Source organism: Homo sapiens, chromosome 15, assembly GCF_000001405.40.
Source record: "Homo sapiens chromosome 15, GRCh38.p14 Primary Assembly".
NCBI lineage: Eukaryota > Metazoa > Chordata > Mammalia > Primates > Hominidae > Homo > Homo sapiens.
The window spans coordinates 93,228,517-93,255,802 of NC_000015.10; the positions used below are offsets into that span (position 1 = coordinate 93,228,517).

General features: G+C 45.9%; 1 long non-coding RNA gene across 1 annotated transcript in view, besides 5 other annotated features; it reads left to right on the forward strand.

Annotated features, from left to right (window-relative positions):
• The window catches only part of LOC105370982 (uncharacterized), a 171,228-nt gene that overhangs the window by 16,054 nt on the left and 127,888 nt on the right, over positions 1–27,286 (forward strand). Inside the window, exons 3-4 of the long non-coding RNA XR_007064770.1 lie at positions 211–306; positions 3,212–3,336. This is a non-coding gene — a long non-coding RNA (uncharacterized LOC105370982). The remainder of the gene's footprint in view (positions 1–210; positions 307–3,211; positions 3,337–27,286) is intronic.
• Positions 13,365–13,909: an enhancer, noted in NCBI's record as "OCT4-NANOG-H3K27ac-H3K4me1 hESC enhancer chr15:93785110-93785654 (GRCh37/hg19 assembly coordinates)". NCBI's record gives its function as "activates a minimal SCP1, AML or CMV promoter by ChIP-STARR-seq in naive H9 embryonic stem cells {active_cell/tissue: H9 hESC(naive)}" and the evidence as "EXISTENCE:reporter gene assay evidence [ECO:0000049][PMID:30033119]".
• Positions 16,248–16,757: an enhancer, noted in NCBI's record as "H3K4me1 hESC enhancer chr15:93787993-93788502 (GRCh37/hg19 assembly coordinates)". NCBI's record gives its function as "activates a minimal SCP1, AML or CMV promoter by ChIP-STARR-seq in primed H9 embryonic stem cells {active_cell/tissue: H9 hESC(primed)}" and the evidence as "EXISTENCE:reporter gene assay evidence [ECO:0000049][PMID:30033119]".
• Positions 16,758–17,265: an enhancer, noted in NCBI's record as "H3K4me1 hESC enhancer chr15:93788503-93789010 (GRCh37/hg19 assembly coordinates)". NCBI's record gives its function as "activates a minimal SCP1, AML or CMV promoter by ChIP-STARR-seq in primed H9 embryonic stem cells {active_cell/tissue: H9 hESC(primed)}" and the evidence as "EXISTENCE:reporter gene assay evidence [ECO:0000049][PMID:30033119]".
• Positions 24,702–25,203: an enhancer, noted in NCBI's record as "H3K4me1 hESC enhancer chr15:93796447-93796948 (GRCh37/hg19 assembly coordinates)". NCBI's record gives its function as "activates a minimal SCP1, AML or CMV promoter by ChIP-STARR-seq in naive H9 embryonic stem cells {active_cell/tissue: H9 hESC(naive)}" and the evidence as "EXISTENCE:reporter gene assay evidence [ECO:0000049][PMID:30033119]".
• Positions 25,204–25,703: an enhancer, noted in NCBI's record as "H3K4me1 hESC enhancer chr15:93796949-93797448 (GRCh37/hg19 assembly coordinates)". NCBI's record gives its function as "activates a minimal SCP1, AML or CMV promoter by ChIP-STARR-seq in naive H9 embryonic stem cells {active_cell/tissue: H9 hESC(naive)}" and the evidence as "EXISTENCE:reporter gene assay evidence [ECO:0000049][PMID:30033119]".

Consider the following 27,286-nt stretch of genomic DNA (forward strand, 5'->3'; position numbering starts at 1 on the left):
TAGCTATACCATTATTTTTATTATTTATTTATTTATTTGAGACAGGATCTAGCTCTGTTGCCCAAGCTGGAGTGCAGTGGTGTGTTCACAGCTCACTCACTGCAGCCTCGACCTCCCAGGCTCAAACAATCCTCCTGCCTCAGCCTTCCAAGTAGCTGAGACTACAGACATGTGCACAATGCCTGACTAATATTTTTCTATTTTTTGTAGAGATGAAGATCTCACTATGTTGCCTGGGCTGGTCTTGAATTCCTGAGCTCAAGTGATCCTCCAACCTTGGCCTCCCAAAGTGATGGAATTACAGGCGTGAGTCACTGCACCTGGCTGATACCATTATTTTTAAAGTTGGTTTCTTATAGATGACATAAAATTGGATCTCCCCTCCCCTACATTCAATCTGACCGTTTCTGACTTTGAATTGATGTGTTTAAACCACTTACATTAATTATTGATACAGTTGAATTTAGGCTACCCTTTTCTTATTTGTTTTCTGCATATCTTCTCTGTTTTTCATTTTTCTCTTTCCCCCTTCCTGCCTTCTTTTGGATTACTTAAATATTTTTGAGACTTTTAATTCATTAACATTTTTAGTGTCTTTCTGGGTAGTTTTTTTGGTTGTTGCTCTAGGGATTATAATATACATATTTAATTTTCAGCTACTAATAAGAATTAATATTTTATCACTTCAAGTAAAATGTAGAATACTCAACTATTTAGGTCCCTTTATACTCCTTATTTTAAGTTTTGTTATTATCTGTATTACATCTGTGTACATTGAAAACCCATTAGGAATATTGTAAGTTTTGCATTAAATAGTCTTAAATATTTTAAAGAATTGAAGAGAAGAAAAATAGTTCAATATGTTACCCAGATATTTCCCTTTTTTCTTATCTTCCTTCCTTCCAGAAATTCCACATTTTCCCTCTGGTATCATTTCTTTCTGTATGAATAATTTCTCTTTCAAAAAAGAAAGGTAACTGTATGAAATGATGGGCGTGTTAATTTGACTATAGTAATCCCTTCACATTGTATATGTATAGCAAGATAAGTCAAGATAAATATATTAAAATATTATATTGTATACCTTAAAAATGTACAAGTTTTTTAAAAACAACTTTTTTGGGGGCAAGGGTGCTGATAAATTACTTTTCCTTCATCGAAGAATATCTTTATTTTGCATTTATTTCTCAAGGATATCTTCACTTAATATAAAATTACGAGTTGACAGTTCTTCTTTTTCAGTATGCTATAAATGTTGTTCCACTTCCTTCTGGCTCCCATGGTTTTGGGACAATAATCCTCAATGTTATATTGTGTTTCCTATATATGTAACTTGCTGCTTCCTTTGTCTTTGCTTTACAGCAGACTAATGATGATGTATCTTGGTAAATCTTGGTTTGATTTTTTTCTGGTTTGGTGTTGATTGAGATTCTGAAATCAGTAAATTTATGCCTTCTGCCACATTTGGGAAGTTTTTGGCTATGATTTCTCCCTCCCTTCCTTCCTTCTTCTTTTTTTTTTTTTTTTTTTTTTTTTTTTTTTTGACACAGTTTTGCTCTTGTCACCCAGACTGGAGTGCAGTGGCACAATCTCAGCTCACCACAACCTCTGCCTCCCAGGTTCAAGTGATTTTCCCACCTCAGCCTCCTGAGTAGCTGGGATTACAGGTGCCTGCCACCATGCCCGGCTAATTTGTTTTTGTATTTTTAGTAGAGACAGGGTTTCACCATGTTGGCCAGGCTGGTCTTAAACTCCTGACCTCAGGTGATCTGCCTGCCTTGGCCTCCCAAAGTGCTGGGATTACAAGTGTGAGCCACCACGCCCAGCCGATTTCTTAAAATATTTTCCTTCTGCACCAATTTATTTCTCCCATCCTCTGGGACTCTAATGATACATATATTAAACCTTCTGATGTTGTCCTATTGGTCCCTGAAGCTGTTCTTTTTTAAAAAAAAAACCTTTCTATTGTTGTTTTTCTTCAATTGGATAACTTTTATTGATACACCTTTAAGTTCACTAACTCTTCTCTCATATCCTTTCTTCTGTATAACACAAACAGTAAGTTTTCTATTTCTATTTTATAGTTCTAACTTTTTTTTGGTCCTTTGTATTTTTCTTCTCAGAATTTCTATTTTTCCAGGTATTTCAAGAGAATTTTCGTTTATTTCATACAGCATAGTTATAATGGCTGTTTAAAAATGACTGTCTGATATTTCCAACATTGGGTTATCTGAATGTTGGCATCTGTGGTTATCTTTTCCTGATTTGTATATTGTGTAATTTTGGATTGTGCCCTGGCCATTTAAAATATTACATTATGAGACTCTGGCCCTCATTGAAATCCTCTGGAGAATGTTGATATTTTTTCTTTTGGCAGGCATCTGCTTGGTTAGGCTCAGGCTTTGAGTCCTGAGCTGTCTTCTGTTGCCTATGTTAGGTCAGCCTTCAAACATTTACTGTGTTATGTTGACCTATGGATCGTGTATTCCTTCCAGGGACCAGTTTTAGACCTGGACAATGATCTACAACTTAGTTCATTTCTTAAAGCCATTGTTAAGTTATTTGAAGTTAGCTCCATGCATGCATAGTTCAGTGACGGGCCCAGGACAGCATACACATTTGTTTGTGGTCCATTTCTCAAACTCCTTCCTCTTCATGACTTCTTCAACACCCTTCAGCTCCCTAGGACCCCTTTTCCTGATTCTCAGGCTAGAAAGTTGAGGCGTTTGCCTTCCAGGCCTGTCATGCATTTCTTGTGTCTGGATGTGGTTCTAAGTAAAGCAGCAAGGAGAGAGAGAGAGAGAGAGAGAGAGAGAAAGGACCAGGATTCCCTCCTTCCTTTTCATCCCTCTGGTTAGAAAAAAGGATTTTCTTTCAGAGTTTCAGGTGCCTTCGTGGCTGCTGCTGCTGTCATGGGAGTGCAGTCTTACAACATTTGCCTGGGGCAGGAGACAGAGAAAGAAAAAAACAGTGGATTTCCTCCTCTCTCTCCATTCCTCAGGGGCCCCTTTCCTGGTCTTGTGACCATAGAGGGATGGTTTCTCCTGGGCACTTCTCCCTATATGCCTGCTGAGCAGTTCTGGGATTTGGGTGTCCTGAGTCTAAGCTGGGAGATGTGGGAGGAAAGAAAAGCTGGTGAACTCATTGCCACCTCCATGTTTCTCTGAATGTTATCTCTCTCTCCATCTGCTTGCCGTGGTTTTCTTTCTAGACACCTCTGATGATTGCTGCATGTATTCTGCCCAGGGTTTTTGGCTGTGATCACTGGGAGAGATAGAAGGGACTGTATTTGCTCCATCTTACCCAGCTCTGCAAACCTGCTGGAGAGTTTAATTGGTAAGTATTTTTAAGTTTTATTTTTATATGAAAACATGCAGAGTAAGACTGCAAGATCAGCATGAACTTCTCAAAGCTTCTAAAGCTGATGTCTTTGAGAAAATACAGGCTTGTGGGGCATTGCTTTGATAGGAGTTGAGTCTCCTCTGTTTAGAGAGAAGACAAGAGGGAGAAGCAATGCCCTTCTTGGTATAGATGGCAGGGTTAGCACGGCCCCTGCTCACTGTGGGGCTGACCGCCCCCACTGCAGGAGGCTGGAGTCCTTCTTTTGCCCTAAGAGCTCATTTTGAGAGATTCTTTGCTTCTAGCTTTTCCCCTGATGACTGACTGGTCCTGTCAGAAATTTTACCTAGGCTTACTCGTCCTGGAAAACCACAGACAATACCTCTGGCTGCACGGGACACTGAAATCTGTCGGGACCACTCCCTCTCCCAGCACAATCATCCAGGGGCACAGTCCTCAGCGGGAGCTCCATCTCCTTGACCTCTTTCCCCAAGCAGGAAGAAAATCTCATGCTATCATAATGTGCTGAAATTGTGTTTGGAGATGTAGTTTCCTAGGAAAAACATCATTTGGTTTCACAGAAGCTTCCTGTTGGAAACAGGAAAGAGGGGGACAATGCTAAGGGCTGAGGGGCCCTCCTAGAAGGGCAGCAGGAGTGATGGTCTTCTCAGCCCCGGCCCCTCCGCAACCAGCGAGATGATGCTGAGACTTGGTGAGGGCAGGGGGATAGGAAAGGAGAGAGCAGAGGATACAGGGAAGGTGGGGCTTGCAGGTGCCTAAGAGGGGCTGTCTCTGCTAGAATCAAATAAAAGGACAAAAGAAAAAGAAACAAAGAAGAATATTTGATATTATCCCCTGCTTTCTTGGTACACCTGCAACTGGCCGCCAGTGAGAATGTACTACCAGGTAATTTTCATAACCAACCCAGTGTACCTTGAAGCACAGCTGGTTTTTCAGGCATTTAGAATTTCCTAGTTTTCATTCTAATCTTACTGAATTTTGGGGGGTGGTGGGGGGTGTGGGGGGGCGGGAACACTGATGGGGTAGGGCGAAGAGATACCTGGGCCTGCTCTCAGGCTCAGAATACCAGGGAAATTTCAGTTTTTTTTTTTTTTTTTTTTTTCGCCCAGTAGTCTAGGCTCAAAAACACCCTGTGGTTTCTACAGTGTGGGTGCTGTTCTGTTCCCACCGCTCTGAAAGATGACGGTAACAATGTGGATTTCGACTGCAGTGGGCATTTCTGTGAGACGGCTCCTTTCTCCCACTGAAGCTGCAGTTTGAGATTGGATAATCTTAGGTGTTGGACCCTTGACCGTGCTTTTCATATTTTGAGTCATTTTGTGGAATCTTCTAATGTTAGAGTGTAATGTTTGCCTAACATTGGCTGATTGTCACTGTTTTAACATTGGCTGACTAGACGTGAAACTTTTATCCTCAAAATGGCCCAGTCACGTCTGGTTAAATGTGTAGCATCATTTTTACCTGATAAAAGAAGAAACTATATCTAGAACTGCCAACCTAGAACTCCACAGACTCAAACTAAACAAAATTAAGATAAAAATACATCAGGAGGAGAAGGAAGTAAACACAATATAGAAAATTCAACCAATGTGGCTCAGTTTGTAACCCATCAAATGTCCACCTAACTTCTCTGATACTTCATTCATATCTGGTTTTTAAATATTATAATATTTGCCTTATAAACCTATTATTACTCTTCGAGCAATTTAAACAACTAGCTTGAATATTATTCCTTTGATTTGTTACCTGGGCCTAATGCTTCTAGTGTTTCTTTGGAAGCCAGAAATTACCCATCCTCATCTTCAACCATATCCTTGGGCCCCATAACTCATTCTGATTTTGATTGCTCTGTCATTGACTTTGGATAATAGGCCAATATTCTAGGAATTACTATTATATTTTATTAATCAGAGCCAGGAGAATTTATAGTAGTGAAACCGAAGGATTTGCAAGTGGAGCTCGCATATCTCCTGTAAAATGTGTCTCCATGGGCCAGCCACGTGATGGATGGAGATATCACATGCTCCTTCCCTCCCTTGGCAGCCAGGTGAGCAGCAGCCAGATCCTGTCTCTGGGGACCATTGACTGAGCCTTGCTCAGGGCTTCTCTTAAGGAAAATGTGTGGGAAGGGAGTGTAACATGGAAGACTTACTACGAATGGGGTGGCCACACATACCTGCAGTGGGGTTGTGGTCACAGCTCCAGATATGGTCTGACAAAGGAGAAGGCTATGCACTTTTTGCAATATTTCTCATGATTTTTCCTGATAAAGAAATATTAATACCTACCTGCTTATCATAAGAGATATATTTTGGGCCGGGCACGGTGGCTCACACCCGCAATCCCAGCACTTTGGGAGGCCGAGGCGGGCAGATCACGAGGTCAGGAAATCAAGACCATCCTGGCTAACACGGTGAAACCCCGTCTCTATTAAAAACACAAAAAATTAACTGGGCATGGTGGCGGGCGCCTGTAGTCCCAGCTACTCAGGAGGCTGAGGCAGGAGAATGGTGTGAACCCGGGAGGTGGAGCTTGCAGTGAGCTGAGATCGTGCCACTGCACTCCAGCCTGGGCAACAGAACAAGACTCTGTCTCAAAAAAATAAATAAATTTTAAAAAAAGAGACTTATTTTGGAAGTACTGACAAGTGAAGAATTAAAGAAATGGAGCACTTAGGACGCAACCACACAGCTTATATTTTTACTTATTTCCCTTGCATTATATATTCTTGTGCGGTTTTTTGTTACATAGTTAAATTTATTCTACATATACAATTCTTACACTCTTTTAATACTGCATTGCACATACTCAAATAAGGAAAAATCTTCCTAAATATCATTTTAGACAGCTGCATTAACGTGCTATCAGAGAGTTAAATCAGTGTTTACTTACCTCTCTGCAGATTTACTGCCTTTCAGGAGGGACTCGATCCCCACAGTAGAATCCTTAAAGCATTGGGCTTGCGGAAATGCTATCAACCTCCAGGTTCATCCATCAACTACAGGTCCACCCTTTGCTAGGCTTGTGGCTAAATCTTCGATGTAGCAGTGCATAAAATGGAAGTAATAATAATTAGTGGTGCAGAGTTGCTGTATCATTGAAATAAAATCAGTGCTGTAAAGCATCCGGCACACAGCAAATGCTCTTTAATCAATTGAAGTCAGTTGCACTAGAATTTCAAGTGTCTTCGCGTTTGGTGTTCCTTCTATCTGGAATGCTTTCCCCCTAGAAATCTGTGTAGGACTCTGTTTTGTTACCTTGTTAAAGAAGCTTCCCAGAACACCCAATTCAAAGAGGGATCATACCTCATTCTAACTCTGCTTTATTCCTTATCATAATCCTTATCATTGTCTGGCACATTATTTATATGTTTATCTAGTTACAGCCTGTCTTCTTAATCTAGAATGGAAGCTTTCTGATGCAGGGATTTTAAGTGCTTTGTGCCCTGTCATATCCCCAGCATCTAGAATACCTCTTGGCATGTAGTAGGTGTTTAATGAATGAATAAACTGCTTGGGCACTGGGGGTGAGCTATGCAAAGTCTAGACCTCACACTAGTCTAACCTCTGGGAATGTTGACTCTGGAATCTGGTTTTAAGAATTTTTTTGGGTGGGGCATGGTGGCTTACGTATGTAATCTCTGCACTTTGGGAGGGTGAGATGGGAGGATCGTTTGAGGCCAGGAATTCAGTTTCAGCCTGGGCAACATAATGAGACCCCGTCTCAACAAAGAATTTTAAAAATTAGCCAGGTGTGGTGGCGAGCCCCGGGAGTCCTAGTTACTCAGAAGGCTGAGGTGGGAGGATCGCTTGAGCCCAGGCGTTTGAGTCTGAAGCGAGCTGAGCTTGAATTACTGCCCTACAGCCTGCACAACACAGTGAGACCCTGTCTCAAAAAAAAAAAAAAAAAAAAAAAAAAAAAAAAGTTAGAATTTTCTCCTCTGAGATTTTTATGTCTTCTAAAAATCGTGACCTGCTTTCTTAAGCTGTAGTTCTTTTACCAATTTCATTTTATTGAAACAATCCTTGCAAACTCTGATTACATTTTCCTGTTCTCATTTCAAAATCTACTTGATTCTAAGTGAAGAACAATACTTTAAACAACAATAATGTTACTAACTACAATGGGTTAAACACCCATTGTACTTATTACTACTCAGCTAATTCACTGAAAGATCACAATGACAGGTGAACAGGACTCGTGCGTTTGTTCAGGGCAGTCATTCTGCCTGGCCAAACTGCTTTGACGACACAAAGGAGACAAAATGAGGCAATCCTTGGTGCGTTTCACACAAAGCTCTCCTCCGTCTTCCTCTTTACTCTCGTTCCCTGACCTGCCCCTCCCTTCTTCCTCACCGTTGGTCACTGTAAGCCTTCTCCTGTCTTTTAATTTCTGAAATGGTCAAAACCACTGACAAGGTCCCAGGCCCCAGGATATGTGGACCCAGGCTCAGTGTGGGCTGGACCTGCACGAAAGCTTGGAGCCCATTGGTTGGGGGAACTGACGTGGATCTGGACAGATCCTCCCCACGTAACAGCCTTGTTGCCTTTCCCTGTATTTGCGAAATAGTTGCGCGGGAGAATGTTCCTCATTGTCCTGAGACTTGAGTAAGATAAAGCAACTAAAAACCCTAAGTCAGTGTCTGCTCATCAGAAACATGCAGTGAAAGAAAGCGAGTCCTGTTTTCAAAAACTGACACGTGACTTCCTCGCCTTTCTTCCTCTGGAACGATCCATTGTTGAGGTTGTGTGGTTTCTGTGAGTCTTTGCAAATTCTTTCTGCAAACCTGGGATGAGCCTTGTGCTAGGTGCTGGGGATACAAAGATGTGACTGTGGTCCTTGCTTTGGGACATCCTAGCAATTGTAATACAATGTATTATAAAGTTGTATTTTTGTGTTTACAAGTTTTGGACGCAGACTCAAATCTGACCATTTTGAGTCAATGGGAAAGGGCCAATTTGAAGAATAGCATATTTCAGGGTAATCAGTCTCATTACTTGACATATTCTAGGAAACTCGGGAAGCGCAGATCTGAATTAAATTGAATTTAATCTTCCTTAAGTACATGCTGTAGTTGAAACCAGGTTAACAAGTGTTATCTAATAAAGAGATCCTTGGTGAGAATCAGTTAAGAATGACTGTAATTAGTGATGGTTTATCATTGTCAATTTAAATCCTTGGGTATTCCTAAAGTACTCAGGGATGCTTAAAAACTCTTTGTCTTCTTAAGAGGCTTTAAAACTTTTTCTCTACAATCTTGTTGACACAGTTAATTAACAGTTAGAACAATAGACACAAATCCTTACTTCCCTAATTGTGCTGGGGTAAACCTCAGTCACAGCATAATTCTTTCCAAAATTCCAGTGTGTGAAATGCACGTGAATGAGTGTTGTAGGTCGCCTTAGCGTTGGCTAGTAATGAGCTGAAAAAACACTTACTGTGGCTCACGCCTGTAATCCCAGCACTTTGGGAGGCCGAGGTGGCGGATCACAAGGTCAGGAGATCGAGACCATCCTGGCTAACACTGTGAAACCCCATCTCTACTAAAACTACAAAAAATTAGCCAGGCGCGGTGGCGGGAGCCTATAGTTCCAGCTACTTGGGAGGCTGAGGCAGGAGAATCGCTTGAACCTTAGAGGTGGAAGTTGCAGTGAGCTGAGATCGCACTACTGCACTCCAGCCTGGGAGACAGAGCGAGACTCTGTCCCCCCCAAAAAACAAAACAAAACAAAACAAAAACACAAAAAAACTTACTCCGGGCATCTCCTCCAACTCTCCAATCCTGCTCTACCTGATAGTTTTTGTTTAAAATCTTTCAGATTTCTCTCCCCCTCCCGCCCCCATGGAACTGCTTTTACATGTAACACCTCTGACATGGGATCTTAACCCTGAAATGAGCCATTAACTAGGGAGTTACATATGTTTATATTTTATTTTTTAAGTTCAGGGTGCATGTGCAGGTTTGTTACCTAGGTAAACTTGTATTATGGGAGTTTGTTGTACAGATTATTTCATCACCCAAGTATTAAGCGTAGTACCCATTAGTTATTTTTCCTGATCCTCTCCCTCCTCCCACCCTCCACCCTCCAATAGGCCAAAGTGTGTGTTGTTATCCTCTATGTGTCCATGTGTTCTCATCATTTAGCTCCCACTTATAAGGGAGAATGTGTGGTATTTGGTTTTCTGTTTCTGCGTTCGTTTGCTAAGGTTAATGGCCTCCAGCTCCATCCATGATCCTGCAAAGGACATGATCTCGTTCTTTTTTATGGCTGCATAGTATTCCATGATGTACATGTACCACATTTTCTTTATCCAGTCTACTATTGATGGACATTTAGGTTGATTCCATGTCCTTGTGATTGTGAATAGTGCTGCAATGAACACATGAGTGCACGTGCCTTTATGATATATTATATTCCTTTGGGTATAAACCCAGTAATGGGATTGCTGGGCCAAATGGTATTTCTGTTTTTAGGTTCTGAGGAATCATAGTTCAACCATTTTGGAAGACAGGGAGTTATATTTTTTATGGCCACTGTTCCTGATAAAGGAAGTCAGTATAAGTGTCTTTTCTGTGGATTGGGACTCAAAATAGAAATAGAACTCACAGGCTGAAATATTTATCGTTTGTATGGAACCAGCTGTACATGATGCAAAATCTGTATCATTTGTTCTCACACCGAAATGTGAGTTTACAGCTATGTGGAGGTTTGTTTGGGAGTTTGTTGAAATGCTCTGAAGGGAAGAAGAGAGTGGAGAAAGGGGGACGTTAGGTGGACTGTGGGGTGTCTGAAAGTGTGGCTCTGGGAGCGTTCTAGAAATCTCCAGGGCTGTGGTGGGCACTGCGGCCTGCCCATTTCTCTCTAGGCAGAATTTCATGTTTCTCTTTTTTATGGACATGAGTCAGCTGTGCTGGGATTGGAGAGGGTCTCCCAGACCCCTTTGCCTCTGGGCCGCCAGTTCATTTGGAGCCTTGGCCAGCCCCCCGGGGAGACTCAGCTTTGCTGCAGCTTGCTCTCTCTGTCATCAGGATGGTGAGGAGGAAGGAGGTCCTCACAGTCCAGGAGGTACACCAGATTCTAACGACGTGAATATAAGCCTTGAGTAAACACTCAAAAACAAACAAACAAACAAAAGACAATTGTGAATCAAGGGTGAATTCGCCTTGACTTTTCTTCGCCACCAAATGCACCCAGCTGGGGGGAGGTGCTCAGAGACGAGGAGCCTGGACAGTCCCCAGACTGGACCTGTCTGCAACATCAGCATCATCTGGCTGAACTTGACAGAAGCACAAATTCTGCATTCTTTGGCCCCTCCCCAGACCTACTGCGACAGAAACCCTGGAGTTGAGGCCCCGAACTCTGTGATTTTTAACGAGCCCTTTGGGTGATTCTGTTGTAGCGGAAGTTTGAGAACCGCTGGTTCAGAAGTGTATTAAATCTGGGTTTGCGTATTCCTCTGTCGCGCACTAGCAGTGGAATCTTAGTATCCACGTCTGTGAGGTGGAGAGAATATTCATTCCCTCAACAAATATGTGTTTCACACCTGCTCAGCCCAGATAGTGTGCTCGGCCCTGGGGACACAATACCTGTGAAACCAGGCAGGACCTGACTTCACAGAGCTTAGAGATAGACACTGAGCAAATCGTCACGAAATAAAAGTGTAATGACCGACGGCAGTAAGTGTTCATGGGGAATGAATCGCAGGCTCTGAGAGTTTGGAGCAGGCACACTGGACCTAGTTTGGAGACTCAGGGTGGGGCTTGCCAGCCTAATGCTGTCATTTTGAACATTTCCCATCCAAGGTGACTCTTGGAAGTAGTTTCTGACAGGCCAAGGCCATTTTTGTCAGTTTGTTCTGCCCCATCCGGCTGGGCATGTGGCTTGCTCAGTGCTCCCAGCCTTGGCGCCCTCCGCCATTTTGAACGCCATCTTCATCTCTGTGTGGAAGTGGCAACTAAGGGAGGCCCTCAGACTCTTGCAGTGCGGCCTCCCTGGCCTGCCTCCCCCTGCCTGGACTGTCGGCTTCGTGAGGAATACAATTCCCTAGCGACAATTCTTTGCTGTGTCCTTCTGCCCCCAGTTTCTTTGCTTGGGTCCTGGCTGGCTTCCCACTCTCCACTCTATTCAGAAAGCAACCCTGCTTTATTACAGATTTCTCCCCAGGTCTGAGCTCCAAGTGCCTGGTGGCTGATGCCTGGTGTGGGTGAGGGCAACACGGTTTTGTTGCAAATCTGACCCATTGAGGCGGGCTGTGGGATACGAGCTTCTAGCAGCCCTGTTGTGCAGCCTCTGGAGCCTCCTTGGGTTTGCTGTCCCTCCTGATGGAGCCTTGACTGCAGGTACCAGTGCTTTCCAATCACTGGGAAGGACACTGCCAGGCTGGCTGATTGCCAAGGAGATGCTGGCCCTTCTGGGCTGGAGAGGAGAGGGCCATGATCTTTTTGAGTTGTTAATCTTGTCCTGTCCTTGGAGCACAGAACCAACTTTCAAAACTGGAACAAAACACCCATGCACAAAAACAATAGACCCATGAGTTGAGTTGAGAAGCCATGCTGCCAGGAGGATGGGGAGGCAGGCTGGTCAATAGCACCTCTGACTATTTCAGATGTCCACTAAAGAAGAGTTTGCTTTCTAAGCACCAAACTCTAGATGGGTCTTGAAAAGTAGAGAGGAATTTCTCTGGCTGTCATTAGTCTCTGCTTCCCCCAGATTCAGCAGTCCCAAGGCCCTGAGGAATTTTAGGCTGACGTGTTAGATACATCCTGGGCTTAAGCCAAAGCAGGGGTACACTGGTGTAAAGTTTAGTCTAAAGCTGCCTTCTTACATATTTTAGTTCAGCCTAAAGGTTTCTCCATTTACGGTGAACTGTAACCTCACTGAACATGTAAACAGGCTGTAACTTACCCTTGTACCAATCACAAAGTTTTGGCCAATTGCAGGTGGCCAACTGTTCAAGCCGTGTTCACGTAAGGCCAATGCCGAGCTGTAACCAGTCCAGTTGTTTCTATACCTTACTTCCATCTGCTGCATGAAACTTTCCTTTTTCTGTCTGTAAACTCTTTCCAATGACGTGGCAGCGCCAGAGTCTCTGAACCTACTCTGGGTCCGGGGCTGCCTATATCTCAACCGTTCTTTGCTCAGTTAAACTCTGTTAAATTTAATTTGTCTAAAGTTTTTCTTTTAACGCTGGGTGGTTCCTTAGGACCACCCAGCGTTAAAAGAACACGTTGCTGGGCAGGGGTGCTGTACTTGTTCTTGCTGCCCTGGGCCTGTTCTGGTGAGCCTGAGGCCCGGGAATGTGCGGTGGTCTTCCCTGGGACCCCCAGAGGCTGCTGATGGCCACAGCCAGCTTGTGTGCAGGTCTAGGCTTTCTGCTTTCTGTCCTTTCTCCATTGCTTGGTAAGAACCCTGACAGGTAGCCTGGATCTTATTTGTCCCTTATTTGGGGGTAGACCCTATTTCTCCTCCCCTCATCTAATGGTTTGGCTTCTTCAAGGTAGATGGGCTTCCCAGACTGAAGGCATCATTGCTTCCTGACTGCTGGGCCGGAGGTGGACCCAGACTGCACCCCCAAGGCCCATGGCTCTCCATCCTGGCTGCACAGTAGAGTCAGTGGGGGGAAATTTTTAAAAATATGTAGGGCCCGATCCCACTTAAACCATTTAAAACAAACTGTCTGGGGATGGGAGTTGGGCTTCGGTGTTTTTTGAAAGCTCCCTGCTGCTGTACCGCGCTGCCGTGTTTGAGAACCATCTCCTCAGATCCATGGCAAGCAGCCCTAGTTCCTCGAAGGCCATTTCACATCAGATACAATTATTTATAGGCAGAGTTTTTAAAAAGGATAAAATAACAATAAAAAGGTTTTGATTTCCAAGGGGTTACTGCAGCCATCATTGCCTAGCAAGCTCCCGGCCGCGCTCTAAGTTACAGAGGTGAAGAGAATTGAGGCAGTTCCGCCTCCCGGGGTTTTCTTCTGGGGGTGGAGACCTAGGTAAGAAAAATCACCCAAATGTATAATTAAAAACTGTGGGTAAATGCCAAAGGGGGCCAAAAGAGCGGTTCCTCCCCAGGGTTGGGCAAGTATGGGGTGGGGATAGGGCTGTGGTTAGAGAAAGATCCCCCGGGGGGAAAACATTTGCATGGAAATCGGAGGGAAGAATAAGGCTTCCCAGGTGGAGCAGGGAGGACCAGCAGGTTCCTGCCAGAGAGAAGAGTGTCTGCAAACCCCTGAGGCAAGAGGAGCCTGTGTCTTTGAAGGTCTGAACAAAGGCTCATTCCACAGAGTCAGGAAAGCAGAGGGGGCAGTATTTGGGGAAGAGGCCCAGGAGGAAGGGTAGGGGGGGCCAAGTTGGCCAGGCCCTTCTTGATGCTGAATGGCAGGAGGACTTTGAAGAAGTGACAGGGTCAGAGGTGCCATCCAGAAAGATCACCCTGATCAGAGCTGGGAGAATGGAGGTGCCGGGCAGGAGCAGATGCCAGGGCCTGCTTGGAGGCAACTGGAATACTCCAGGCAAGAGGACGGAGTCCAAGGCCAGGGTGGGAGAAGGGGTTGGGAAGCCCTGCCGGGGGTAGAATGGACTCAAGATTTGAAATTCGGGCAGGGAGTGGGAAACAGTGTCAGTCATGAGCCCCTGGGTGCTGCCTCATGGACCAAATGGATGCTGGTGCCATTGACTGCGATAGAATCCTGGGGAGCGACCAGAGCGAGGTGGCAAAGAGATAGAGAGAGAGGGAGAGAGAGAGAATTGTGTGTGTGTGTGTGTGTGTGTGTGTGAGCGAGGTGGCAAAGAGAAAGAGAGAGAGAGAGAATGTGTGTGTGTGTGTGTGTGTGAGCGAGGTGGCAAAGAGATAGGGAGAGAGAGAGAATGTGTGTGTGTGTGTGTGTGTGTGTGAGCGAGGTGGCAAAGAGATAGGGAGAGAGAGAGAGTGTGTGTGTGTGTGTGAGCGAGGTGGCAAAGAGATAGGGAGAGAGAGAGAATGTGTGTGTGTGTGTGTGTGAGCGAGGTGGCAAAGAGATAGAAAGGGAGAGAGAGAGTGTGTGTGTGTGTGTGTGTGTGAGCGAGGTGGCAAAGAGATAGAAAGAGGGAGAGAATGTGTGTGTGTGTGTGTGAGCGAGGTGGCAGAGAGGGAGAGAGAATGTGTGTATGTGTGAGCGAGGTGGCAAAGAGAGAGGGAGAGAATGTGTGTGTGTTTGTGTGTGTGAGGTGGCAAAGAGATAGAAAGAGAGGGAGAGAGAATGTGTGTGTGTGTGTGTGTGTGTGAGTGAGGTGGCAAAGAGAAAGGGAGAGAGAGAATGGGTGTGTGTGTGTGTGAGCGAGGTGGCAAAGAGAAAGGGAGAGAGAGAATGTGTGTGTGTGTGTGTGAGCGAGGTGGCAAAGAGAAAGGGAGAGTGTGTGTGTGTGTGTGTGAGCGAGGTGGCAAAGAGATAGGGAGAGAGAGAATGTGTGTGTGTGTGTGTGAGAGCGAGGTGGCAAAGAGATGGAGAGAGAGAATGTGTGTGTGTGTGTGAGTGAGGTGGCAAAGAGATAGAGAATGTGTGTGTGTGTGTGAGCAAGGTGGCAAAGAGATGGAGAGAGAGAGAATGTGTGTGTGTGTGTGTGTGTGAGCGAGGTGGCAAAGAGAGAGGGAGAGAGAGAATGTGTGTGTGTGTGTGTGGTGGCAAAGAGATAGAGACGGAGAGAGAGAGAGAATGTGTGTGTGTGTGTGTGTGTGTGTGAGCGACGTGGCAAAGATAGGGAGAGAGAGAATGTGTGTGTGTGTGCGTGTGAGCGAGGTGGCAAAGAGATAGGGAGAGAGAATGTGTGTGTGTGTGTGTGTGTGCAAGGTGGCAAAGAGATGGAGAGAGAGAATTGTGTGTGTGTGTGTGTGTGAGCGAGGTGGCAAAGAGAGGGAGAGAGAGAGAATGTGTGTGTGTGTGTGTGTGTGTGTGTGTGTGTGTCTGAGTGCGTGTTTGTCTGAGATGTGTGTATGTTAATTATTAGCCCAGGCCAGGCGCAGTGGCTAACGCCTGTAATCCCAACCCTTTGGGAGGCTGAGGTGGGTGGATCACCGGAGGTCAGGAGTTTGAGACCAGCCTGGGCAACATGGTGAAACCCTGTCTCTACTAAAATATAAAAAATTAGCCAAATTAGTCAGGTGTAGTTGTGGGCACTTGTAATCCCAGCTACTCAGGAGGCTGAGGCACGAGAATTGCTTGAACCTGAGAGGCAGAGGTTGCAGTGAACCGAGATAGCGCCACTGCACTCCAGCCTGGGCAACAGAGTGAGATTCTGTCTCCAAAAATAATAATAATAATAATGATGATGATGAGCCCAGATTGTGGTCAGTTTAAGAGATGAAAGTGAGGAAACAGAATTTTACTTGTTTGGCCACAGAATATTATCTGGGCATATTTGAGAGGAATGAGGAGATAATTTTCTTTTTTAAAAAATGTTTTAGTTGACAAAAAATTGTATATGTTTATTGCATACATGTTGCTTTAAAATATGTATACATTGTGGAGTGGCTCCACTGAGCCCCTTAAGATAGGCATTACCTCACATGCACATCATATTTTTATGGTGAGACTTAATATCTACTCTCTTAGCAATTTTCAGGAGTAAAATACGTTGTTATTAATATAGTCACCATGTTGTGCAATAGAACTGTTGAACTTTTTGCTCCTAATAGAAATTTTATTTTTATTATTCCTAATAGAAATTTTATTTTTATTATTCCTAATAGAAATTTTATTTTTATTATTCCTAATAGAAATTTTGTACCCTTTAACCAACATCTCTCCAAACCTCTCCCTCCCGGCAGCCCCTCGTAACCACCATCCTGCGCTGTACTTTCATGCCTTCAGCTTTTTAGATTCCACATGTAAGTGAGATCACGCGGTGTTTGTGTTTCTGTGCTTGGCTTATTTCCCTTAACTTAAGGTCCTCAGGTTCGCATGTGGAGGAGACAGTTTTCTAATCTTTAATCCTTTGCTTTGTGGAGTGTTTCCAGTCGCCTGAGTGGTTTTCCATGCATTTGCCATTCCGTCTCTTCTTACACTCGGGCAGATATTATCATCATCATGACAGTTTTTAGAGCGGGGACTGAGACTCAGAGAGGTAAAGCCTGTTGTCCAAGACCACGCAGAGGACCAGGATGTTGGAATCTGCCCTTCCTTGCCACTATTTGCTGCATGGCCAGTGTATGCTGGGCACTTTTCTAGGTGCCAGAGGGCACTGAGCTGAGTCTGGTGTTGGGAGGGGTGGGTCTGCGGCCCTCTCCTCCCACACCTGTGGGTTCTCTTCTTGCGCCGAGTGGGGCAGAGGAGATCCGGCTGAGGCAGCACTAGGCGCAGCCCCCACACTGCCTGCGGGGTGGCGGTGGGGATCTGGTGGCTTCTCTCTGTGGTTGTGCAGGTCTTGATGGCTTCTGTACCCAGAGCTCCTGCCCTGGACAGCAGGGGCTCGGAGCTGCCCATTCCCATTGTAAGGAGGCTCCTCTCTATGCTGGAGGGTACTGTCTGGAGGTGTTTGCCTCACTCTCTCCGCTGTGTTAACTGAAAGGCAGGGTGCAGATGCGTGCGGAATCTGGGCAGCCTTGGACGCCCGCCCTTGAACTCAAAGTACGCACACCTTCCTCTTCCAACTTGGACGCCGGCTCCCTGGGTTCATCTTGGCCTTGGCCCTGTCCTTCTCAGGTCTAGTTCATTTCTTTTTGCTATCAGGCTGCAACTCCCATCCAAGGAAGGCTGGGCAGAATCCAATAATGAGTAGATTTCACTGACGGTTAGATTGATTGTCTAATCTGGTTGTCATGGGGGCCAGCAGAGACAACAGCATTGAGTCTTCCAGCGCTGAGGACAAATAGGTCAGAAGCATGCTCTTGGGTGGCCCCTCAGCCTGTCTATCTCTAAGAGACCAAAAGACTCGGTATTTTGCAGCCACCTGGGGTTATGGCAAGGATGATGTCAGGTCCCCGAGGGGGTCTCTGAATGGCCCTTCTGCTCTTGATTTATGAAAAGCATTCTGGCACATGCTTTTCCTCTCTCTGTCTGTTGTCAGACAGCCTGAGGAATCCACTCCCTTCATCCCCGTCCTGTCTCGAATCTCAGCAACACTCTGGGAGGTCTCTCAGTGGCTCCTTCCTAGGTTTCACAATCAAGTCTTTATTCCAGGCAATTTATTTCCAACCTAGATACCAACAGCACACGTTGGGATGACTATAAAGCTGACTGCAAGGACATCTCAGCCAGGCCCAGGCAGTGGATGGAAGTCTTAGGATGGAAGTGTGAGAGTTAAGAAATGATGTATTTCAATTGGAACATTTTTCAGATGGGGAAATGGAGGCATAAAAGGGGGAGGCATGTGGCCTGAGACTCTTACAGGCATGGGACACGTCCTTTTCTGGATCCTGCAGCCCAGTCTTTTCTCCACATCCCAGGGACTTGCTACTCTTCATAACATCTCCTGTGTTCACAGCAGCATACGTGTACCTGCTGCTGTCGTCATTTGTGATAACTGCACACCGCTGGCCGCAGCCCGGCTCAGAGAGACTCATGACCTGATTCTGAGGGACTGGTAGGAGCAGACGCTGTGGAGCGTGTTTGCAAGGGGCCAGGCTCTCCTCTGTGTGCGGTGAATTCAGTTGCTCCTCGTGACTCCCGTGAGGAAGGCATTGCTATTATCCCCATGTCACAGACGAGGACTCTCTGGCACACGAAGGGAGAAGAGTTTGGTCCACATCACACACCCCAGAGTGGCAGAACCAGGATAGGAACCCACACAGTCGGGCTTTGACAAGGTGTTCTTAGCTTCTATGTGATGTGGCTTCCGAGTCAGCTCAGCTGGTGTTCCTGAATCAGGTCTATTGCGAAGGAGCATGTAAGGTTCCAGGAGAGTGCAGGAGGTCTGTCTCATTTTGGAAAGGCCGAGCGACAGGAAAAACCACATAAAACCCTTGCTGATTTTTCTGCTTCTGTTACACCGAGTGTGGGTGCGTTGTGCTCTGTACAAAATAATGGTTTTTGTCAGACAGGGACGAGCCGCTGATGGAGGAACACCTTTCCTCCTAGGCTCTCCCTGCGTCAGGCGCAGCCTCGTCATCCTGCCCTGCCCAGTAATTTAGAAGAATAGCAGTAATGATGACAGCCAAAGCCAGCTGGATCCTCAGGGAGAGTCCTAGGAGGCAAACTATAATTATCTAAATTAGACTCTGAGGGGGACTTAAGTTTTACAACCTGTTGTTCTCTGCCACAGAGAGGAGTGTTGCTAATGTCTCTTTTTGCTGAAAGTGTGCCTTACAATGGAGTGTCTCACGGCTGATGTTCATATGGAAACAATGACACTTGCTTTTCTTTCTTTTTTGCCAAAACCCATTCAAAGAGTTCACTGTATCTCAGTGAAGGTTGAGAGGACTTCTAGAAACTTCCAGAAACTTACGAAAGTTTCCATGTTTGTGAAATGAATGTTTTGCCTTTTTCCTAAATTACATTCCCATCAAGAAGCAAGTAGTTCTTGCATATTCTTCCATCTCAAAGTAATCACTCACCTATTTCACCAGGCTGTTTTTTTGGAGTCTCAACTGGCAAATTTCTACAAAGTGCTCTTCTTCACAAGACTTCCTGTTACCTCAGGACCAGAGGTAACCATGAAGCTGAGGGCGGTGGGGCAGCCTCACTAGTGAAATGACTCCCTCCCGCTCACAAGCCTTCCATGGGGCTCACGCCACACCTCAGCAACATTACAAATGCCGACCTAAGTAACACGGGGGTTGACTTCAGACATTGTGGTCAGGCCGACTTGTGTTTAAACCTAGGCTTTGACACCGGTCGATCGTTCAGCCACATGCAGGTTACCTAAGCATGTCCCACGTGGCACAAAGCAGTTGCCTGAACGCCACACTGGGAGGCTTGTCTTAACTTTATCCTGGCTTCCACCTGCACTCGCCGTGATTCTGAGGGCTACTGACCCCAGCCTGGTGCTGCGTTTGGGCTCAAAAAATTGCAATGCTGTCAAGCTGCAGAATCTCTATTGCCCAACAGATACTGTTGTCTTGCCAAATAATTTTTAGTAATTTTCCACCCATCCCCCTTTATGTAATTTTCCATTTCCCCATAGCCCCTCTAGTCTGTTTTTTTTTTATTCCCTCCTTTCACTTCCCCATAATCCCTTTTAGTTCCCTCTCTGTTCTCCCTTTAGAAACCTCCATACCTTTGTCCTAGCTGGATTTGAGCTCAGTTATATTGGAGTCTCTTTCCTCTAAGGCAGTAGACTGAACAAAATGTTTTGCCGCCTTTAATGTGTGTCTGGCACTGGCATTGATGAAGGCTTAGCTTCTGCACCTGTAACATGAACAGGTGAGTATCTCTTCTTCTAACTAGGCACTACTTAGTGATATAATAACAGTAACATGTTCTGGGCCATGAGGATTTATTTCCCAAAGTAGAAACCACATTGGTTAAATGTGCAAATATCAATGCTGTACTGAGTTGAAAAGACACCCCAAGCCGGGCACGGTGGCTCATGCCTGTAATCCCAGCACTTTGGGAGGCCAAGGCTGGTGGATCACCTGAGGTCAGGAGTTCAAGGCCAGCCTGGCCAACATGGTGAAACCCCGTCTCTACTAAAAATACAAAAATTAGCCGGGTATAGTGGTGTGCACCTGGAATCCCAGTTACTTGGGAGGCTGAGGCAGGAGAATCGCTTGAACCCAGGAGGCGGAGGTTGCAGTGAGCCAAGATCGAGCCACTACACTCCAGCCTGGGTGACAGAGCAAGACTCTAAGAAAAAAAAAAAAGACACCCCAAATACTCACAAGCGAAGTGACACTTGAAAGAATCTTCACATTTACAGGCTGAAGAAGAGAAACAAGGGAATCTTAAAAGTGAGAGGGCCGGGTGTGGTGGCTCACGCCTGTAATCCCAGCACTTTGGGAGGCCAAGGCAGGCAGATCACGAGGTCAGGAGATCAAGACCATCCTGGCTAACACAGTGAAACCCCGTCTCTACTAAAAATACAAAAAATTAGCCGGGCGTGGTGGCGGGTGCCTGTAGTCCCAGCTACTGGGAAGGCTGAGGCAGGAGAATGGCGTGGACCCGGGAGGCGGAGCTTGCAGTGAGCCGAGATCGCGCCACTGCACTCCAGCCTGGACAACAGAGCGAGACTCCATCTCAAAAAAAAAAAAAAAGTGAGAACAGCGACAGTACATGCAAGGCAGAGTTGTGGATGGAAGAGTGGACTTTGGTAACAGAAAAGAGGCAGGCAAGGTTGGGATTAAAAGGGCCCTGTGTATCAGTGTGAGGTGCTTGCATTCCATCTTTAGGGCAACAGGAGAGCTTAAGCCACAAGGCGAGTTTTGCTTACTAGGTGGTGCTAATAGGAAGAGCCAAACCATAAGGCAGAAAAGAGGTGGATTTGCTTACATTGATATTAAGGATTTCTGGTCCAGTCCCTGGACAGAGTTTATAATAGATGACAGAAATGGGAGAAGGTCTTTACTCAGGAAAATCCTCAAATCCACAGGAAAAAAAGATGGCAACTTCTAACAAAATGGGAAAAGGATAGAATGAGGCAATTTTTAGCAGAAAAACCTCCCATCTCAAATAATAAACACATGATGAGGTGCTTAATATCTTAGTAATCAGATGAAAATTAAACAGCCACAAGCTACCACTTTACATCTGTTAGACTATATCTTTATTAGAAAGCTGGATAGTGCCAAGTGTGGTGGGAGATCCAGGAGCCTCCCCTCACTGCTACGAGGAGACTGGATTGGAGAGCATGCGAATTGAGTATTGCCTACCCAAAGAGGCTACATCAACCCGGATCCTCGAACAAAGATGTTCTTTGCTGTGTCATTTGTAGAAGTATGGAATTCTCTCTCAGCTAAGAGATGAGGCTGACAAAGTGCTGTGGATGCACATGAAGTTTGACGCATCAATTACAGGAAACAGATCAGCCAGCCAACAGCGACATCGCTGGATCTCAACAACGCAGTGTTAGTGAGAACTCTAGGAAGCAAAATGAATTATCTATGCCATTTACATAGATTAGAGATACACCCATACAAATATATACAGCTTTTAAGGAATATGTGCAAAAAGCACTCTATTAAAGAGAATGAAGGTTGCCCAGAGGCAGGGGGAGGGGAAAGGGAGTGAGGGGATGGAGCTTGAATCTGGGGAGGGGAAAGGGAGTGAGGGGATGGAGCTTGAAGACAATAAATAAATAATAAGAGTAAAACCTTGCATGGTTACAGCTCTCAGACTGAGGAGTATGAAGATTTTAGCCTTTGGCACTGAGGTTAAACAAAAGCCATCATTTTGAGGGAAAGGACTACCTTTGTTTATGTACTTTATTGGGGTCTGGAAGGATGCCACATATGCTTAAATAATTAAGAATTTTTTTAATAATCCCATATAATGTTTATCATGTTTTCAAAGCTCCTTCCCATAGGTGGATCAATTTGATTGTTACAATGACTATATAAATGAGTTCGTGGGGATATTTTTAGAAAATGAGGAAGCTGAGCCCATAGGGGCAAAGTGACTTGCCTAGGGTCACACAGCTGGGAAGTGTGACTCACCCCTTGGACTCTTAACCCTTGTCCAAGGTCTCAGGTCCCCAGGAATTATCACTACATCAAATGGAAAATCATTGCTCCTTTAAGGAAATTGAAATGATAAATGTCGTTTGCCTTGGATTTTTTTCACATGGACTTTTCTGTTTTCACTGCTTTTGTTGTGCTTAGATTTTGTTTTTGTCATTGTTAGGGGAGAAATTTTGCTACTTGTGTATCATGTCAATGGCTGTTAGCACTACAGCATAAAGTCCGTTAATGGGTTTAACAGAACTAATAGCAGCTATTTTTAATTTAAAAGTGTCTGTATGTATTTTTCTTATTTCAAACATAACTTATACTCCATTGGAACTCTCTTTTTTTCACCTTCCAGAGATAACCGCTGGTAAGAGTTTGGCTTATATTCTTCTACATTTTTTTCCCCACAAGAAACTGAAATTTGAATTTTCTTCTACAAGTGAGAAAAAAAAAAAGTAAAATCTCTAACTGTCTTAGTGATGATAATTCTGAGAAGACAGGCCCATTGAGCCAAGTAGGAGGATAGGTTTCCTGAGGATGGAGATGCAGAAATAGTTGACTTTGCCTTCACGAAGCATCCTGACATTTTTAGATGTGGCTACACTCTGTGGGCCGGAAGTCGAATTCCCTGGAGGGCTAGAGCTCTCAGTATTTTGGACATATGTGAAGTCAGCACAGGGGGCAGGCGGTAAGTTAACTTGAAGAGAATTCCAGTTACAAATTTAGCTCAGCTTCTAAAAAACACTCCCATCGAAGAGAGATTCCTGGTTGCTGTGGAACTGCGTCCCCTGTGGGATTTTCCTTGTGGAGTTAACTAGACACAGTTGTTACTAGGTAGCGGGACAACAGATTTGCTTAAGATCTCTTCGATTTTGACAGTTTGATGATGGGTGACTTATGTGGTATTGTGGACATCTGTTGGCTTTATATTTTGCCTGCCAAGCATCCATACTTTCTTTTTTCTGGTATCCATACTCAATTTTTCTTCTGGTTCACCACCTATACCGGGTTGAATAATGCCTCCCTCCCCACCCCAATTCATGTCTACTCGGAAGCTCAGCATGTGACTTTATTTGGAAATAAGAGTCTTTGTGGATATAGCTAGGATGAGGTCATCCTGGATTAGGGGGGGTCCTAAGTTCAAGGACTGGTGTTACCATGAGAAGACACAGAGAAGGAAGGAGAGGCAGAGACTGGAATGAAATAACTGGAAGGGAAAGAACACGGAGGATCGGGATTGTCAGCGCCTCCAGGAGCTAGGAGAGAGGCCTGGAACGGGCTCTGCCTCAGAACCTCCAGCAGGAACCAACTCTTTGGACACCTTGATGTTGGGCTTCTGGCCTCCAGGACTGGGAGAAGATGCATTTCTGTTGTTTAAGTCCTCCAGTTTGTGGTATTTGTTATGGCAGCCCTAGCAAATTAATATACCTCCCATTTACCCTGTCAAAATGATCCGGGGGCTAGTCTCTGTTGTGCTGGGCTCCTATTAACTTCGGTAGGGAAGGCATTAGGTTCAGGAGGATGAGGAAGAGACCCAGAGTCCTCAAATGAGACATGGGGTTTTATTAGCAGGAAGCTTACATACACAGTGGTCCAGTGGTGGTGGGCTGGGCAGGAGAACCACAACTGCTTCCAAAAGCATGTGGTTTGTACAGCATTTTCACCTAGCACCCTCCCTGTAACAATCTCCACCTGGCAACCCTCGTTTAACTCAAAACAAAGGGCCTCAATGTCCTGCACGGGCCCTTTACGTTCCATGCGTCAGGCTGGGGGCTCAGAGGTTTCTCGTAGCTAAGGAATGGATAAGGGTTGGCCCCTCCCATTCCTTAGGATCCTTGGAACACTAACAAACATTCAGGTGCATCTGCCATGCAGGGTCATTCTCAGGGTATGCTCAAGTCATCACTGTCAGGTGCGTCTACCATACGGGCTCCCACCCCGCTTCCAGGATGGACATGTCACACAGAGCTGAGCAGGTTACTTAGGACAGACACATCACTTTGCGTGGGCCGATAAGAATTAGTCCTGGAACTCTTTGTGGATTGTTTGGCAAAGAGGATCTTTTTATGCCAGGTCAGCCAACCTGGAGCTGCTGGAGGTCATCTTTGTTACCACACTCAGAGAGCCTATCTGGGAATGAGGCCAATGCTAAGGAAAGCAGAACAAAAAGATGGAGACACATCCCTGACACTATCACTTAGGTACCTAGATCCAGCTGTGCCTGAACCCCGATGGAGTGTTCACTTAAGGGAGCCATAATATCCTGAAGTGAGAGTGGGGGTTTCTATCACTAGTAATGAAAGGATCCTTACTAGTAAGTGTGATTTGGAGACAAGCATTCATGCTCATGGTCATTGAATGATAATCCTCAGAAACTCCTAGTTGACCCTGTTGGATTAATGGTTGCATTTTCTCTGGAGAGATAAAAATGGAAAACCAACAGAAAAACAGGAAGCTAACATAGGAAAAGGAAACAAACATTTGAGTGCTCAGTCCTGTGCTAAGCAGTTGACTTAAAGTCCTCCCACCCTTTCCTTCCTTCCTTCCTTCCTCTTCCCAGCAACAAAACTTACATAAGTTTTGTTGTCCATAAGTTACAGAGGAGTGGCTTCAGACTCAGAGTGCGTTCAGGTCTGCTTGATTCTAAACCCACCTGCCCCATCACCTGGGGAAAGAATAATGTTGGTTCCTTACAGGGGGTCTTTCTCTCGCTTTGCTGAAGGCATTGCCTGGGATTAAACTCCAGCCCCGCCCTTCACCCACTCAGGAGCTTGGCTGCCTTGCACTCTATAGGGTAGATGCTGATTATTGCTCCATCTTGAGGAAGAGGAAACAGAGGTTCTGAGAGTTAAATACCTTTCTCAAGGCCATGCAGTCATGAATGGTCCAGAGAAGAATTCAAACCTGAGCCCTCCATATTCAAAGTGTGGTCCATGGACTAGTAGTCTGGAATCATCTAGAAGCTTGTTAGAAATGCAGAATCTCAGCCCCCTCCCCTCCACCTCCTGAATCCAATTCTGCATTAGAACGAGAGCTCCAGTGACTGGCGTGCACAAAGAAGTTTGAGAAGCCGTGGTGTAGCCCTTGCCATCCGGAGCACCAAAGTCTCCATGCGGTGGGGGACCTACATATGCCGTGTGCCCTGCTGCACTGGGATCCCTCACACCAGCTGGTTCATATTGTCAAAAGGGAAAAAGTCCCGGGTGAGAAGTGGTGAGCCCTTGCGCCGTCTCCATGGGGCTGGGAGAGTGGAGGCTTTGGCTCCTGAGGGGCTGCACTGAAGGCCTGCAGAACAGGAGGTTCATCTGGCTGTGCAGAGTTCACCCCAGCCCATCTCAGGCCTGCATCCTCACCACCTGGGCCCAGCTGGAGGGCCAGCTGCCTTTTCCACAAGGGATTATGCCCAGATAGCTTCCCACAGCAGCTCCGCGGATTCCTTGCTAACCCCCTCTGGGAACAAAGGGCTTGGAGAAGGTCCACAGTCCTTTTTGGAGAGTGGGATCAAAGTAAGAGCCACATCTGTCACAAGAAATGCGGGAACAGCCTCTTGCCAGGAGAGATGGGGAAACTCTTAGTCCCTGGCTGGGTTTGATACTTAATGGCTGGAGTGCTTTTCATGGCTGTTGGGTCAGTGGCTGCTGATGGTCATTGAAGTCAGCTGAACAGAGAGCTTTCCTCCTTGTGCCCATGGCCTCCTGAAGAGGCGTAGGTGCTGTTACTGGCTACAGCTGGAACAGACCGGGGAACCTGGGGTTAGAACACGGGGGAGACTGTCAACAGCTGGGCAGCTGGGGGGCCGCTGACACACCCAGGGCTTTCTGCCTCAGATGCCGGCTTCTGTTCTGAGACACTCTTGGATGTCACAGAGCAGTAGAACAGCTGAGCAAAAGGGGGCACTTCTCTGGATATTGACATTTTTGTGGATGATGGGGAGGGTCAAATAATTTTATTAAACCATTTAAGATTCAATTCTAACAAGCTCCCAGGGGAGGCTATTGCTGCTTTGCAAAGTGAGGGCCAGGGTGGTGCACACATCTAACTGCATGGTCCTGGAAAGCCACTTACTTCTCTCTTTGTTTTCTGTCCTGTCAAAGCGGGTGATAATAGCATCCCCAGGAGGGATGATGCGCAGCCCTCATACATCATCATCAGTGGTGCTCTGTTGCCCGGGCTCATATTGGGATCACCTGGGGGAACTTTAGACACTACTAAGGACTGGCTTCCTCTTCCCCAGACACTCTGATTTAGCTGTTGGAGGTGGGGGAGGCAGGGGCGTGGGGATGCTTGTGGCTTCTCAGGGGGCTTCTATGTGCAGTTGAGAACCACTCTCCTGAAGGCAGCTCTGGCCAAAGAAATGCAAGAATCCCCATCACTTTTGGAGTGTCGGAGACACTTTACGTCGGTGCTCCTCTAAGTATGTTCCATGGACCAGTGCTTCCTGAGAGCTATTTGTTAATGGGTTGGCAGGAGAAGTACGGAGATAGAGTGCTTAGGAATTTCCATAGCATCTCGATATTGCCAGACCTCTGAAGATGTGATCAGGGGCTCATCTCCCTGAATAGGTTGTAGACCAGCTCCAGGGCTGCCAGGCCCCTGTGGGGAGGTGCACAGTCAGGATGAGCTGCAAATGAGTCCTGTGCAGGGGAACACGTGTCATTGTGCCAAGGACTAGATACAGAAAAATCCACTGGTCTTTCATCTCACTACTTCCCTGTTATCTCCTGAAATCTCACAGTCACCTGAAGTAGGGTTTTGTGTTTTTTTTTTTTTTGAGACAGAGTCTCGCTCTGTCGCCCAGGCTAGAGTGCAGTGGCGTGATATCGGCTCACTGCAAGCTCCACCTCCCGGGTTCACGACATTCTCCTGCCTCAGCCTCCCGAGTAGCTGGGACTACAGGCACCCGCCAGCATGCCTGGCTAATTTTTTGTATTTTTAGTAGAGATGGGGTTTCACCATGTTAGCCAGGATGGTCTCGATCTCCTGACCTCATGATCCGCCCACCTTGGCCTCCCAAAGTGCTGAGATTACAAGTGTGAGCCACGATGCCTGGCCGAAGTAGGTATTTTCATGCTTATCTGCAGATGAGGAAACTGAGGCTTGGAAAGGTCAAGCCACCTGCTCAAGGCTAGGTGTCTCTAAACCAAGGTAGGGCAGGGCCTTGTGGGTATGTTACCAGTGTAGTCACGTAGGACTCCACACTCCAGGTGTAATGCCCTATGCTCACCATCTTGAAATTCTTAGTAATTTTATTTTTGAGTGTGTGTTTTGTAAGCAAAGTCCCATGGGACAATGGAGCATGCAGCAGGCTTGGAGCCTCGACTCCTGCCTGGGCCTGCCGCCCTATTTTGCAC